Source organism: Homo sapiens, chromosome 19, assembly GCF_000001405.40.
Source record: "Homo sapiens chromosome 19, GRCh38.p14 Primary Assembly".
In the NCBI taxonomy this organism is placed as follows: domain Eukaryota; kingdom Metazoa; phylum Chordata; class Mammalia; order Primates; family Hominidae; genus Homo; species Homo sapiens.
The window spans coordinates 20,996,983-21,009,967 of NC_000019.10; the positions used below are offsets into that span (position 1 = coordinate 20,996,983).

Consider the following 12,985-nt stretch of genomic DNA (forward strand, 5'->3'; position numbering starts at 1 on the left):
TTTGCTTGCTGAAAAATAAAAGTATCACAAGGAGAAAAATTGAAGTGCCCCAGTTGACAGGTAGCTCACTCTCAGAAGCAGAACCACCCAATCTGCCAGCAGCTGACCACTCATGCCTGAAGCCCAGCCTAAATTTCTAACCAGTTCAATGATGAGCTAGTAAGTTTTAGGATAGTTTGTTATGCAGTTATACCTTACTAACATAAACATTCATTATAGACAGGGTATCAGGATTCCAAAAAGATTCATTGCAAATAACCTGCAAATGGTCTGCACCTTATAAGTACTGATTTTCTTTTCCATTTATTTAAAGTTAGATTTCTGTTAGGTGGTATTGAATTATACAGAAGAGCAAGTAGATGTATATAATTGGTGCTTAAACTCACACAGTGCCCCATACCACAGGAGAAAAACATACAGCTACAGCCAGACAATTAGGTCCGAGGCCAAATAGCAAAATAAGGAGTTGACCTTTGTATTAATTTATTTTCACACTGCTATAAAGACATACCTGAGGCCAGGCACGGTGGCTCATGCCTGTAATCCCAGCACTTTGGGAGGCTGAGGCAGGTGGATCACAAGGTCAGGAGATCGAGACTGTCCTGGCTAACACGGTGAAACCCCGTCTCTACTAAAAACACAAAAAATTAGCTGGTTGTAGTGGCAGGCACCTGTAATCCCAGTTACTCGGGAGGCTGAGGCAGAAGAATTGCTTGAACATGGGAGGCGGAGGTTGCAGTGAGCACAGATCGCGTCACTGCACTCCAGCCTGGGCGACAAGAGTGAGACTCTGTCAAAAAAAACCCCAAAAAACAAACAAACAAACAAAAAAACTACCTGAAACAGAGTAGTTTATGAAGAGAAGAGATTTAATTGACTCAAAATTCTGCATGGCTGGGGAGGCCTCAGGAAACGTACAATCGTGGCAGAAGGCAAAAGGGAAGAAAGGCATGTCTTCAACAGGTGGCAGGAGAGAGTGAAAGAGAGAGAAAGCACTATAGACTTATCAAACAACCAGATCTCCTGAGAACTCTATCAGAGAGCAGCAAGAGGAAGTCTGCCCCCACGACTCAATCACCTCCCACAAGGCCCCTCCCCGACATGTGGGGATTACAACTCAAGATGAGATTTGGGTTGGGACAAAGAGCCAAACCATATCAGCCTTTAATCTATTCCCTCCACATCTGAACTTTGGAGGTCAACACTGTGAAGAGATGTGAAGACATGGGGTTTCCTCCTTCTGAGGCCCTATCATCCATTGTTTACTGTCTGATATTTGGAAGAGAAATCCCCTCCAAACAGCAACTGGGACACAGTGGTCTACATGTGGACACTTCCTGCTTGCAGCTGCTGCTCTGTCTAAGGGCACTGTGCCTCCCACCCTTGGGCCTGAACAGAGAAGTTTATAGGCAGAGGCTGTTCTCTCACTTCCAGCAGAAAAAGGATATTCAGGTCCTTTACCTCTTTGAGGTCAGAGAGTCACAGTCTTCAGAGATGCACTTCAATGTGCCAGCTACTTGCCATTTGAGGCTACTGGGTACCTGGAATGTGGCTGATTTAAAATGAGATGTGCTGCAGATATGAAATAGAGTCAGTTAAGAAAATTTAGAACCAAAAATCACTCTATTAATAATTACATACTGGGCTAGGCACGGTGGCTCACGCCTGTAATCCCAGCACTTTGGGAGGCCGAGGCGGGTGGATCATAAGGTCAGGATATCGAGACCATCCTGCCAACATGGTGAAATGCGTCTCTACTAAAAATACAAAAAATTAGTTGGGCGTGGTGGTGGGTGCCTGTAGTCCCAGCTACTCGGGAGGCTGAGGGAGAAGAATGGCGTGAACCCAGGAGGCGGAGCTTGCCATGAGCCAAGATTGTGCCACTGCACTCCAGCCTGGGCGACAGAGTGAGACTCCATCTCAAAATAATAATAATAATTATTATTATCATTATTATATATTGGGCTGGGTGAGGTTGCTCACACCTGTAATCCCAGCACTTTGAGAGGCCGAGATGGGTGGATCACTGAGGCCAGGAGTTCAAGACCAGCCTGGCCAACATGGCAAAACCCTGTCTCTACTAAAAATACAAAATTAGCTGGGTGTGGTGGCCCACATCTGTAATCCCAGCTACTTGGGAGGCTGAGGCAGAAGAAGTGATTGAACCCAGGAGGCAGAGGTTGCAGTGAGCTGAGATCACGCCATTGCACTCTAGCCTGGGCAACAAGAGCAAAACTCTGTCTCAAAAAAAAGATGATGATAATAATAATTATTATATGTTGATCACACATTTATTCCCAGTGTTCCATTATTGGAACACTAAGCATATGGGAGTTATTTATATCTCACTGCTCAAGGTCATTGCCAACGTCTGACTGCAAAAATTTTAAAAATTGCAACCTCAGGCATAAATGGGTTAAAATAATAATATTTTGGATGTACTGGGTTAAAAAATAATTTCACTTGTTTCTTTTTATTATGTTTAATGTGGCTACTAAAATATTTAAAATTCACACACGGCTGACATTTTATGTTTTAGAGGATTGCTTTTCTTTTAAAATCTCAGGTTGCCTACTCAGAAGATCAGGGGCCGGAAGTGTTATGAAATATTAAATATTAAAATAATTGCCATTATAGTGTTTCCATTTGTAAACAACATATATGTGTGTGTATAAAATTTATAAGTGGACCTAACCTTATACACAAGATTAAAAAATTACCCCCAGGCAGAGCTAAGCCCAGCTCAGAGGTAAAGCCCTTGCTGGAGATGACTGGAGCCAAGAGTCTGTCACTCTTGCCTCATTCAGTGCACTGTCTGGTAGCATCTTCTGTCACTCAAGGCCCGAGGGCGCGGGGCCGGGAGCTCTATCCAATCAGGGTGCTGGGATGGAAACTGTCCAATCAGATTCACAGCCAGAGAGGAAGGGGCGGCTCCCGGTATCTGGCGGGGCCTTTGTCTTTCGCTCCAGGTAGAGCTTGGGGTTAGTACATCACTGGCCTGCGTGCTCCGCTCCAGGAGGTCTCGGTGATTCTGCCACAGCCTCATCCTCCGTCGCCCTGTGACCTACTGGTATTGGAACATTCATAGCTAAGACTCCAGGACACCCACAAAGCCGAGAAATGCTGAGTTTGCGGGTCAGGGCGTCCGGAGACTGGGGAGGCCTCATCGGAGTCGGCCGGAAATGGCGGTGGCGGGACCGAGTCTGTGAGCCTGAGCCCCCCTCAGCTCAGCCCTCAGTCTCCTCTGGTGCAGGGTACCCAGGCGTCCTGTACCGTTTCAGCACAGCGGCTTTGGCCCCAGCCTGTAGCCCTCTTTGCGCAGCTCTGCGCCCGCATCTTCCCCAGCTTGTGAGGTGATGAGGAGAGGTTCACCAGGGAAAGACGCCGACTTGGTGTGCAGGGCTTCTGCGTGGAAGGAGCTCTGGTCTGTGGGGTCACCAGTCCCTACTTTAACCTATTCAGACATAAACGGAGGCACCATTAAAACATTAAAGAATTTATATGAGCAAACAGTGATGAACCAGTGGGACAGCCCCAGACATGGTTTGTCGTTTGGGGGCTACCAGCGGGTCTTGAAGAAAAGGCTTTAAGGTTTGTGAAGAGGCAAAGCAAACTAAATAATTGATTGGGTACAGTTATGTAGTCGTTTCATTTAGAGTGTCCAGGAGAAAATTTTCTGGTTATGTAATCAGATTAATTGGAGATTTATGGTTGGTTAAGCCTGAATTTTGTTTTCTCCTAAGGTAGTAACTTACGAGATACGCATTTGAGTTAGATCGTTTTGTTGCTGTTACACAGGAACCTAGATCCCTAGAGCCACTTCAGTCTACCTGCTATTTAATTATTTTAACTTTAATCAGAAGCACTGTTTTTTTCCTACATTTTCCAAATGTGTGGCAAGCAGAGTCTTAAATCTGTTCTGCCAGCCTAACTTGGCTTGCAGTAAAATCTTAAATTTCCAGTTTCTTTTTTTTTTTTTTTTTTGTTTGTGACGGAGTCTCACTCTATTGGCCAGGCTGCAACCTCCGTCTCCCAGGCTCAAGGAATTCTCCTGCCTCAGCCTCCCAAGTAGCCGGGATTACCGGCATGTGCCACCACACCCGGCTAATTTTTGTATTTTTAGTAGAGACGGGGTTTCACCGTGTTAGCCAGGCTGCTCTCCAACTCCTGACCTCAGGTGATCCGCCCGCCTTGGCCTCCCAAAGTGCTGGGATTACAGGCGTGAGCCACTGCACCAGGACTGAAATTTCCAGTTTCTTTTCAACATTCACCAAAGCCAACTACTCCCATCCAATTCACAACATTATCAACTATTTTTGTTTTTTATTGTATGTTTCTATTTGTAAATATTTCACCGGAGGAAAGCAGAAAATAATCCCATTACACTCCACTGTCAAAAATTTTTCTGCTTTTTCTTCTTTTATCTTCCCTAGGCACAAATGCCTTATCAGGATATCTTTAAATTCAAGTTTCCCTTTGGAAACTTGATGGGACAGTGTGTCCTCAGCCACACTGCTTTTTTTTAAGTCTTGAGTTTTAGAGCTCTCTTGGGATAACCCAAGATACACACAACAGCCATACCTTTTGGAAGGTTTGGTGAATATCAGCCCCTTGGTCATCTCCTTCCAGAGGACACACTGATGTATGGAAATGGAGCTTCTCAGGAGAGCAGCTGAATGTCCTGAGGCTGAGAGAAATATCCTGGTTTACCCTTCCCATAAAAAGAACCTTTGGGGATCTTAAGATTTTCTTTCCCCAGCCCCAGTTCTTCCTGGTCAGCCAATTGGATGGTTGTATTTAGGGGAAAAGACAAAAATAATGCCTGTCTTCTGAATTATCTCATATTTGTGAAGGGGGGAGAACTGTTTTAAAAGACAAAAAAAACAAACAAACAACAACAACAAAAAAAACTCACCCTAAGGAGGCATGCAAGAACTTGCAAAGCAAAAAAAAAAAAAAAAAAAAACACCAGGGACACACTGTAGGGCACTGTGCAGTGTCTTCTGGGAGGGAGAGCTTTGAGCACTTTAGTGAGTAGGGTAAGGGTGGCAGAATGTACCAACTTATAGGATTGCCTGATTTGACACTTGAGTCAGATATGTGTCTCTTCTGGCCGGGCACGGTGGCTCATGCCTGTAATCCCAGCAGCTGGGGAGGCCAAGGTGGGTGGATCATGAGGCCAGGAGATCGAGACCATCCTGGCGAACGTGGTGAAACCCCATCTCTACTAAGAATACAAAAAAAAGTAGCTGGGCATGGTGGCACGTGCCTGTAGTCCCAGCTACTTGGGAGGCTGAGGCAGGAGAATTGCTTGAACCAGGGAGTAGGAGGTTGCAGTGAGCTGAGCTTGCACCAGTGCACTCCAGCCTGGGCCACAAAGCGAGACTCCATCTCAAGAATAAGGGAAGAGACCAGCCCTCATATTGTCTTATGCCCAATTTCTGCCTCCAAAGAAAGAAGAACTAAAAACTAAAAGGCAGAAATGAAATCCACAGGCAGACAGCCCAGTGCCACACCCTGAGCCTGGTAGTTAAAGATTGACCCCTGACCTAATCGGTTATGTTATCTATAGATTACAGACATTGTATGGAAAAGTACTGTGAAAATCCCTGTCCTGTTCTGTTCCATTCTAATTACTAGTGCATGCAGCCCCCAGTCATGTACCCCCTGCTTTCTCAATTGATCACAACCCTCTCATGCGGACCCCCTTAGAGTTGCAAGCCCTTAAGAGGGACAGGAATTGCTCACTCGGGGAGCTCAGTTTTTGGAGACGTGAATCTGCCAGTGCTCCCAGCTGAATAAAGCCCTTCCTTAACTTGGTGTCTGAGGGATTTTTGTCTGCAGCTAGTCCTGCTACATTTCTTGGTTCCCTGACTGGGAATGAGGTGATTAATGGATGGATGGTTGATGCACCTCCTTAGGCAGCTGAGGCTTGCCCTGTGGAGCATCCCTGCGGGGGACTCTGGCCAGCTTGAGCAACATGGATCCTGAGAGCGCTCCCAGATAGGCATTTGCCCTGGTGGAATGCCTTGTTAGAGCGGTGCACAGCAGGCCCCTGCGGAGGATCAACGCAGTGGCTGAACACCAGGAAGGAACTGGCACTTGGAGTCCAGACATCTGAAACTTGGTAAGACTGGTCTTTGGAACTTGCCCACTCCATTTGAGTGGAAGCATGGCCTGATCACCCACGACGTGCCTGTACCGGCACTTTGGTTTTTGTTTTTGACTTGACTTGGATTGCTCGATACTTTGGTTTTGGTTTTGACCTGGCTTGGATTTCTTGATACTCTGATTTTTGTTTTGGTTCTGATTTGGTGTAAACTGTGAAAGTGTGTGTGTGCCCTTTTTACCCGTTCTTTGTTTTGTGGTGTGCGTGTGGTGTGAGCGTGGTGTTTTGTCTTGAGGAAGCATGGGTCAAGCACAAAGTAAGCCCACCCCACCAGGAACTATGTTGAAAATTTCAAGATTTAAGGGAGACTATGGAGTACTATGACACCAGGAAAACTTAAAACTTTGTGTAAGATAGACTGAACAGCATTAGAGGTGGGTTGGCCACCAGAAGGAAGCCTGGACAGGTCCCTTGTTTCAAAGGTATGGCACAAGGTAACCTGTAATCCAGGGCACACTGACCAGTTCCTGTATATAGACACTTGGTTACAGCTGGTTTTAGACTGCCCCCCACAGTGGTTGAGAGAACAGCAGCATAAGCGGCTGGCAGAGGCAAGGAAAGACCAGCAGAGAGAGAGAGGAAGAGACAGACAAAGAGGGAGTCAAGAAGAGAGAGAGAGAGAGACAGAAAGTGAAAGAGAGAAAGAAAGAGGGAAATATACAAGTAGTTAAGAAAAAAAAAGTGTACCCTATTCTTTTAAAAGCCAGCGTAAATTTAAAACCTGTAATTGATAATTGGAGGTCTTTTCCGTGACCCTACAACACTCCAATACAACCTTGTTGTAAGTGTAAGCAAGGGTGAAGCCCAAAAGCACTGAGGCCACTGACAACCTGTAGCCTTCGTATCAAAAATTCTTAACTGAGTAATCTGTGGATGGCCCAAATGCATTCAATCTGTAGCAGCAACTGCTTTGTTAACAGAAGAAAGTAGAAAAATAACTTTTAGAGGAAACCTCATTGTGAGCACACCTCACCAGTTCAGAAATATCCTAAGGGAAAAAAAAAAAAAGATGATTTAACATTAGCCACTGAAAATTCCCTTAACCTAGCAGGTTTCCTAACAGGGGGTCTAAATCTTAATTACCATACAAAGGTCTGACCAGACCTAGGAGGAACTCCCTTTAGGATGGGATGATAGAAGGAAAAAAAAGAAGCCATCTATACCAATTCTAAGTTAATTTGGACTAAACAAGGTCTTATTAATAGCAAAGGATAATTGAAATCCAAAACTTACAAGGTTTTCAACAAAAGTAAAGTTTGCTAAAAGTTAACAGTGTAACATGTATTATAGTAACTTCTAATCTTGTGGCCTTAGACAGTCTAGTCCACAGACATAAAGGAAGTTCACTTTGGAAAAGAATGGTTATCATCTTTGGGAAAAAAAGGGGAAAGAAGGTGAGGGAGCAGAATTTATGTAAAAAGAATGTTATATGGTAAATTCTTGTCCTGAAATAAATTAACTGGTTGTTTAAAGAAAGAAATGTTTGTAATAAGTCAGAAAGTTGAGGCCTGTAGAAGAATTGTCTGTGAAAGTCGTGAAAGAAAAAAAGTTATAAAAAAAAATTTATGCAAGAAATGTTGTATAATTTAAAAGTAACTAGGCCTCCTGAATGTAAAACTATTGAAAAAAACAGTTTATATGCAAGGTGTATAAACAAAGTAAAATATAACTTTGGTAAAAGGATTATAAGGAGGCATAAGAATGTAAATTTTTACCTACATTAAAAGGTTAAAAAAAATTGTTTTGAAGGTTTAAGCAAGTTTTAAAACATTAATTTTAAAGAAAATTCTGTGTGTAAACATATTAGCTAAAGTTAAAGGGGTATCATCCAGTTGTTCTGTGAACTGGACGTTAAAGTAAAAACACAATGAGTTTTTCTTAAAGCGCTAACATGCTCTTTTACAAAGATTATAAAAGGTTAAAAACAGTCTATAAAAATCTTACCTTGGCCGGGCGCGGTGGCTCACGCCTGTAATCCCAGCACTTTGGGAGGCCGAGGCGGGCGGATCACGAGGTCAGGAGATCGAGACCATCCCGGCTAAAACGGTGAAACCCCGTCTCTACTAAAAATACAAAAAATTAGCCGGGCGTAGTTGCGGGCGCCTGTAGTCCCAGCTACTTGGGAGGCTGAGGCAGGAGAATGGCGTGAACCCGGGAGGCGGAGCTTGCAGTGAGCCGAGATCCCGCCACTGCACTCCAGCCTGGGCGACAGAGCGAGACTCCGTCTCAAAAAAAAAAAAAAAAAAAAAAAAATCTTACCTTATGATCCAACATTAAAAATTGAATAAATGTGTCTATAAAGTTTTATTAAAACTAAGTTTAACATTAATAGCACACTAATATAAAGGTGAAATTTAGCTTATCTGGTATAAAAATCATACAGGAAGCATTGTCAAATATAAAATGGTATTTGGCTTCTTTGATCTAAAAACTAATAAAAAATACATGCTAAAGGAAATTTCTCAGTAGAAAGGCACCAAGGACTACAAAGTCCACTGCTGATGTCTCCACATTTAAAACAAAAGGTCAGTTTCTTAGAAATTATATACTTGGTTTATCTTCCGCTTTCCTTTCCATCAAAACTAAAAGTCTTTTAGCACATGTACCACCCCTAGAATTTCCAGTAAACCAGCACCAGCCTGAAGATCACGTTCTCATCAAAGGGTGAAAAGAAAGGAAACTTGAGCCAGCCTAGGAAGGACCCTACCTTGTGCTGCTAACCACTGAGACTGCTGTTCATGCAGCGAAAAAAGGATGGACTCATCACAACTGAGTCAAGAAAGCGCCACCCCCTCCAGAGTCATGGGCCATAGTCCAAGAGGAAAACCCTACCAAACTAAAGCTAAGAAAAATTTAACTCTCTCATCTATTCTATTACTCTTTCTTCTTTCCTCGCTCTATTGCTGACCATCTAGTTATTAATGTAGCCAAGTCAATTTCACCTCAAACTATTGCATTTAATGCATGCCTTGTTATACCCTGTGGGGACTTGCCAAGTCAAAGACTTGTACTTCAGAAAGCTCTGTACTTCAGAAAAGTACCTCTGTCCCTCCTGACTCTCCTCAGACTGGGCATTAGTAAATTAGGACCGTTTAATCCGGGGAAATTTCGATAAAGCCTCCAGTGTCAACCAGGAGCCTTGCTCCCCAATGTAGAGCTTTTATGCCATAGTTGGTCCAACATTCTGTGGACCACTAAAGAGCAAGGATGGACTGCCCCAACTGGTTTTTGTAATTCCCTAAAATCATACATTAATTTTACTAGAGGATCATAGAAGTTAAAGACTTAAAACAAACTTTGGCAAACAGGATACGAAGATGCAAATTCCTGGTTGGAATGGATCAAATATTCCATCCACACGTTAAACAAAAGCAATTGTTATGCTTGGGCACATGGCAGGCCAGAGGCCCAGATTGTCCCCTTTCCACTAAGGTGGTCCTCCTGTCCACCAGGCATGGGCTGCATGGTAGCTCTTTTCCAGGATTCTACAGCCTGGAGTAATAAGTTGTACCAAGCTCTCTCTGTGATATCCCAAAGTCCAGCACCCTGTGAGTCAGCCCCTGAGGGCCATCCAGCTTCTGTCTCCCAACACTAAGTTCACTTCATGTCTCTCATGACAGGGAGGAAACTTAGCATTCCTTGGAGACCTGAAGGGATGCAGTGAGCTTAAGAATTTTCAAGAGCTTATCAATCAGTCAGCCCTTGTTCATCCCTGAGCAGATGTGTGGTGGTATTGTGGTGGACCTTTACTGGGCACTGTGCCGAATAACTGGAGTGGCACTTGTACTTTAGTCCAATTGGCTATCCCTTTCACCCTGGCATTTCATCAACCAGAGGGAGGAAAAATAAGACATCGTAAAGTAAGAGAAGCCCCTTATGGGTCTTTCGACTCTCACGTCTATTTAGACACAATTGGAGTCCCACGGGGAATACCAGATCAATTTAAAGCTTGAAATCAAATAGCTGCAGGATTTGAGTCAATATTTTGGTGGGTGACAGTTAATAAAAATGTAGATTGGATAAACTACATCTATTACAACCAACAGCAACGAGCTTTTCGTGAGTTAAAAGAAAAGCTCATGGCGGCCCCAGCCCTGGGGCTACCTGACCTCACAATAGTTTTACATTCAGGAGGACTAATTACTTTTAAATTTATACAACAATTTCTTGCATAAATTCTTTTTTTATAATTTTTTTTTTTTTTACACAATATGTGTCAGAAAAAAAAATGATAGTTAATAGTTTTAACCCAGACTGTGGGACACTGGCCAAAGCTGGTGGCCTATCTCTCTAAACAATTAGACAGGGTTTCTAAGTGTTGGCCCTCATGTTTGAGGGCCTTGGCAGCAACAGCCCTGCTAGCACAACAAGCAGATAAGCTAACTCTTGGGCAAAACCTGAATATAAAGGCCCCCCCATGCTGTGGTAAATTTGATGAATACCAAAGGACATCATTGGCTAACAAATGCTAGATTAACAAGTACCAAATCTTGCTATGTGAAAATCCCCCCATAACCATTGAAGTTTGCAACACCCTAAACCCTGCCACCTTGCTCCCGGTATCAGAGAGCCCAGTTAAAACATAACTGTCTTAATCCTTTTAAATGGATCAAACCCCTCGGAGGATCATTGTTGTCACTGGCATTATTAATATTGGTATGTTTATGTTGTCTACTTTTAGTCTGCACATGTCTCCAAGGAGTCTGAGGACAAGTGCAAAGTCAACAACAAGCAATGATGGTGGTGGTGATCCTAGTCAATAAAAAGGGGGAAGATGTGGGTGGCAAGCCACCCAGGTGCCAAAGCAAGAGACTGAGGGCACAAGCTATTCCAGTATAATAAAGAAAATATATAGTATAAGAATAGTTCTACTAGAAATAGATTATGGATATGATTATATATGAATGTCATTAATCATTAGTTTGTAGCATTATTCTTTATTCTAATATTATAATAATCTTTGTTCTACAATTATAACCTAGGAAAAACCAGGCCCTACAGAGATAGGAGGTGAAGGGACATGGTGAGAAGTGACCAGAAGTCAAGAATGTTAGCCCTCTGTTACGCCCAGACAGGGCCACTAGTGGGCTCCCTGGTCTAGCAGTAATGCCAGCACCCATTACCTAGCAGACCTTGGTCTAGCAGTAGCATCAGTGCCTAGGGAAGGCACCCATTACTTAGCAGACCAGGAAAGGGAGTCTCCCTTTCCCCGGGGGAGTTAGAGAAGACTCTGCTCCACCACCTCTTGTGGAAGGCCTGACATCAGTCAGGCCCGCCTGCAGCCATCTGGAGGCCTAACCGTCTCCCTGTGATGCTGTGCTTCAATAGTCACGCTCCTGGTCCACTTTCATGTTCCACTCTGTATACCTGGCTCTGCCTTCTAGATAGCAGTAGCAGAATTAGTGAAAGTACTAAAAGTCTTTGAAATGCATAAAAGAAATAGTGGTGTAATCTGTCCTCTCTCTCTCTCCACCTCGGCTGCCAAACAGGGAAGGGCCCCCTGTCCAGTGGACACGTGACTCGTGTGACCTTACCTATCATTGGAGATGGCTCACACTCCTTACCCTGCCCCCTTGTCTTGTATCCAACAAATAACAGCATGGCCAGGCATTCAGGGCCACTACCAGTCTCCACACCTTGGTGGTAGTGGTCCTCCGGGCCCAGCTGTCTTTTCTTCTATCTCTGTCTTGTGTCTTTATTTCTATGATCTCTCATCTCCGCACATGAGGAGAAAAAACCCACAGACCCTGTAGGGCTGGGCCCTACATAACTGTGTAGAGGTATTAGACTCAGTTTATTCTAGTGGGCCCAACCTCCGAGACCATCTTGAGTATCAGGAGACTGTGAGCTATACTTGGATGGGAGCAGCTTTGCCAACCTCTGCAAAGTGACTCTGAAAAAGATGGCAAGCCCTGCTCCAGTCACACCTGGAAGCTGACTGGTTCCCGCATCACCAAAGCATGAGGAAATTAATCACAGGACTCATTTCCCTGAAAATTTGGACTTGTACAGTAAGGACTTCAACTGACCTTCCTCAGACTGAGGACTGTTCCCAATATATACATCAAGTCACTGAGGTAGGACAAAAGTTTGCTACAGTCCTATTATTTTATGGTTATTTTAAGTGTACCAGGACTCTAAAAGGAACTTGTTTGTATAATGCTATTCTATACAAGGTATGTAGCCCACGAAATGACCAGCCTGATGTGTGCTATAACCCATCTTTTTTCCTACTGCCCATAAAAACAGGCGAACTTCTAGGTTTCCTGGTCTATGCTTCCCGAGAAAAGAGAAGCATAGCTATAGGCGACTGAAAAGATGACAAGTGGCCCCCTGAAAGAATCATACAGTACTATGGGCCTGCCACTTAGGCACAAGACAGCTCATGGGGATACCGAATCCCCATTTATATGCTCAACTGAATCATACGATTACAAGCTGTCTTAGAAATAATCACTAATAAAACTGGCAGAGCTTCAACTGTTTTAGCCCAGCAAGAAACCCAGATGAGAAATGCTATCTATAAATATAGACTAGCCCTAGACTACTTGCTAACAGCTAAAGGAGGGGTCTGTGGGAAATTTAACCTTACTAATTGCTGTCTACACATAGATGACCAAGGGCAAGTAGTTGAAGACATAGTTAGAGACATGACAAAACTGGCACATGTGCCTGCGCAAGTGTGGCATGGATTTAATCCTGGGGCCATGTTTGAAAAATGGTTCCCAGCACTAGGAGGATTTAAAACTCTTATAGTAGGAGTTATAATAGTAATAAAAACATGCTTACTGCTCCCTTGTTTGCTATGTACTTCTT

The 12,985-nt window shown here is 43.7% G+C and overlaps 1 annotated feature.

The window, feature by feature from the left end:
- Nucleotides 3,261-3,794: an enhancer, noted in NCBI's record as "NANOG-H3K27ac-H3K4me1 hESC enhancer chr19:21183049-21183582 (GRCh37/hg19 assembly coordinates)". NCBI's record gives its function as "activates a minimal SCP1, AML or CMV promoter by ChIP-STARR-seq in naive H9 embryonic stem cells {active_cell/tissue: H9 hESC(naive)}" and the evidence as "EXISTENCE:reporter gene assay evidence [ECO:0000049][PMID:30033119]".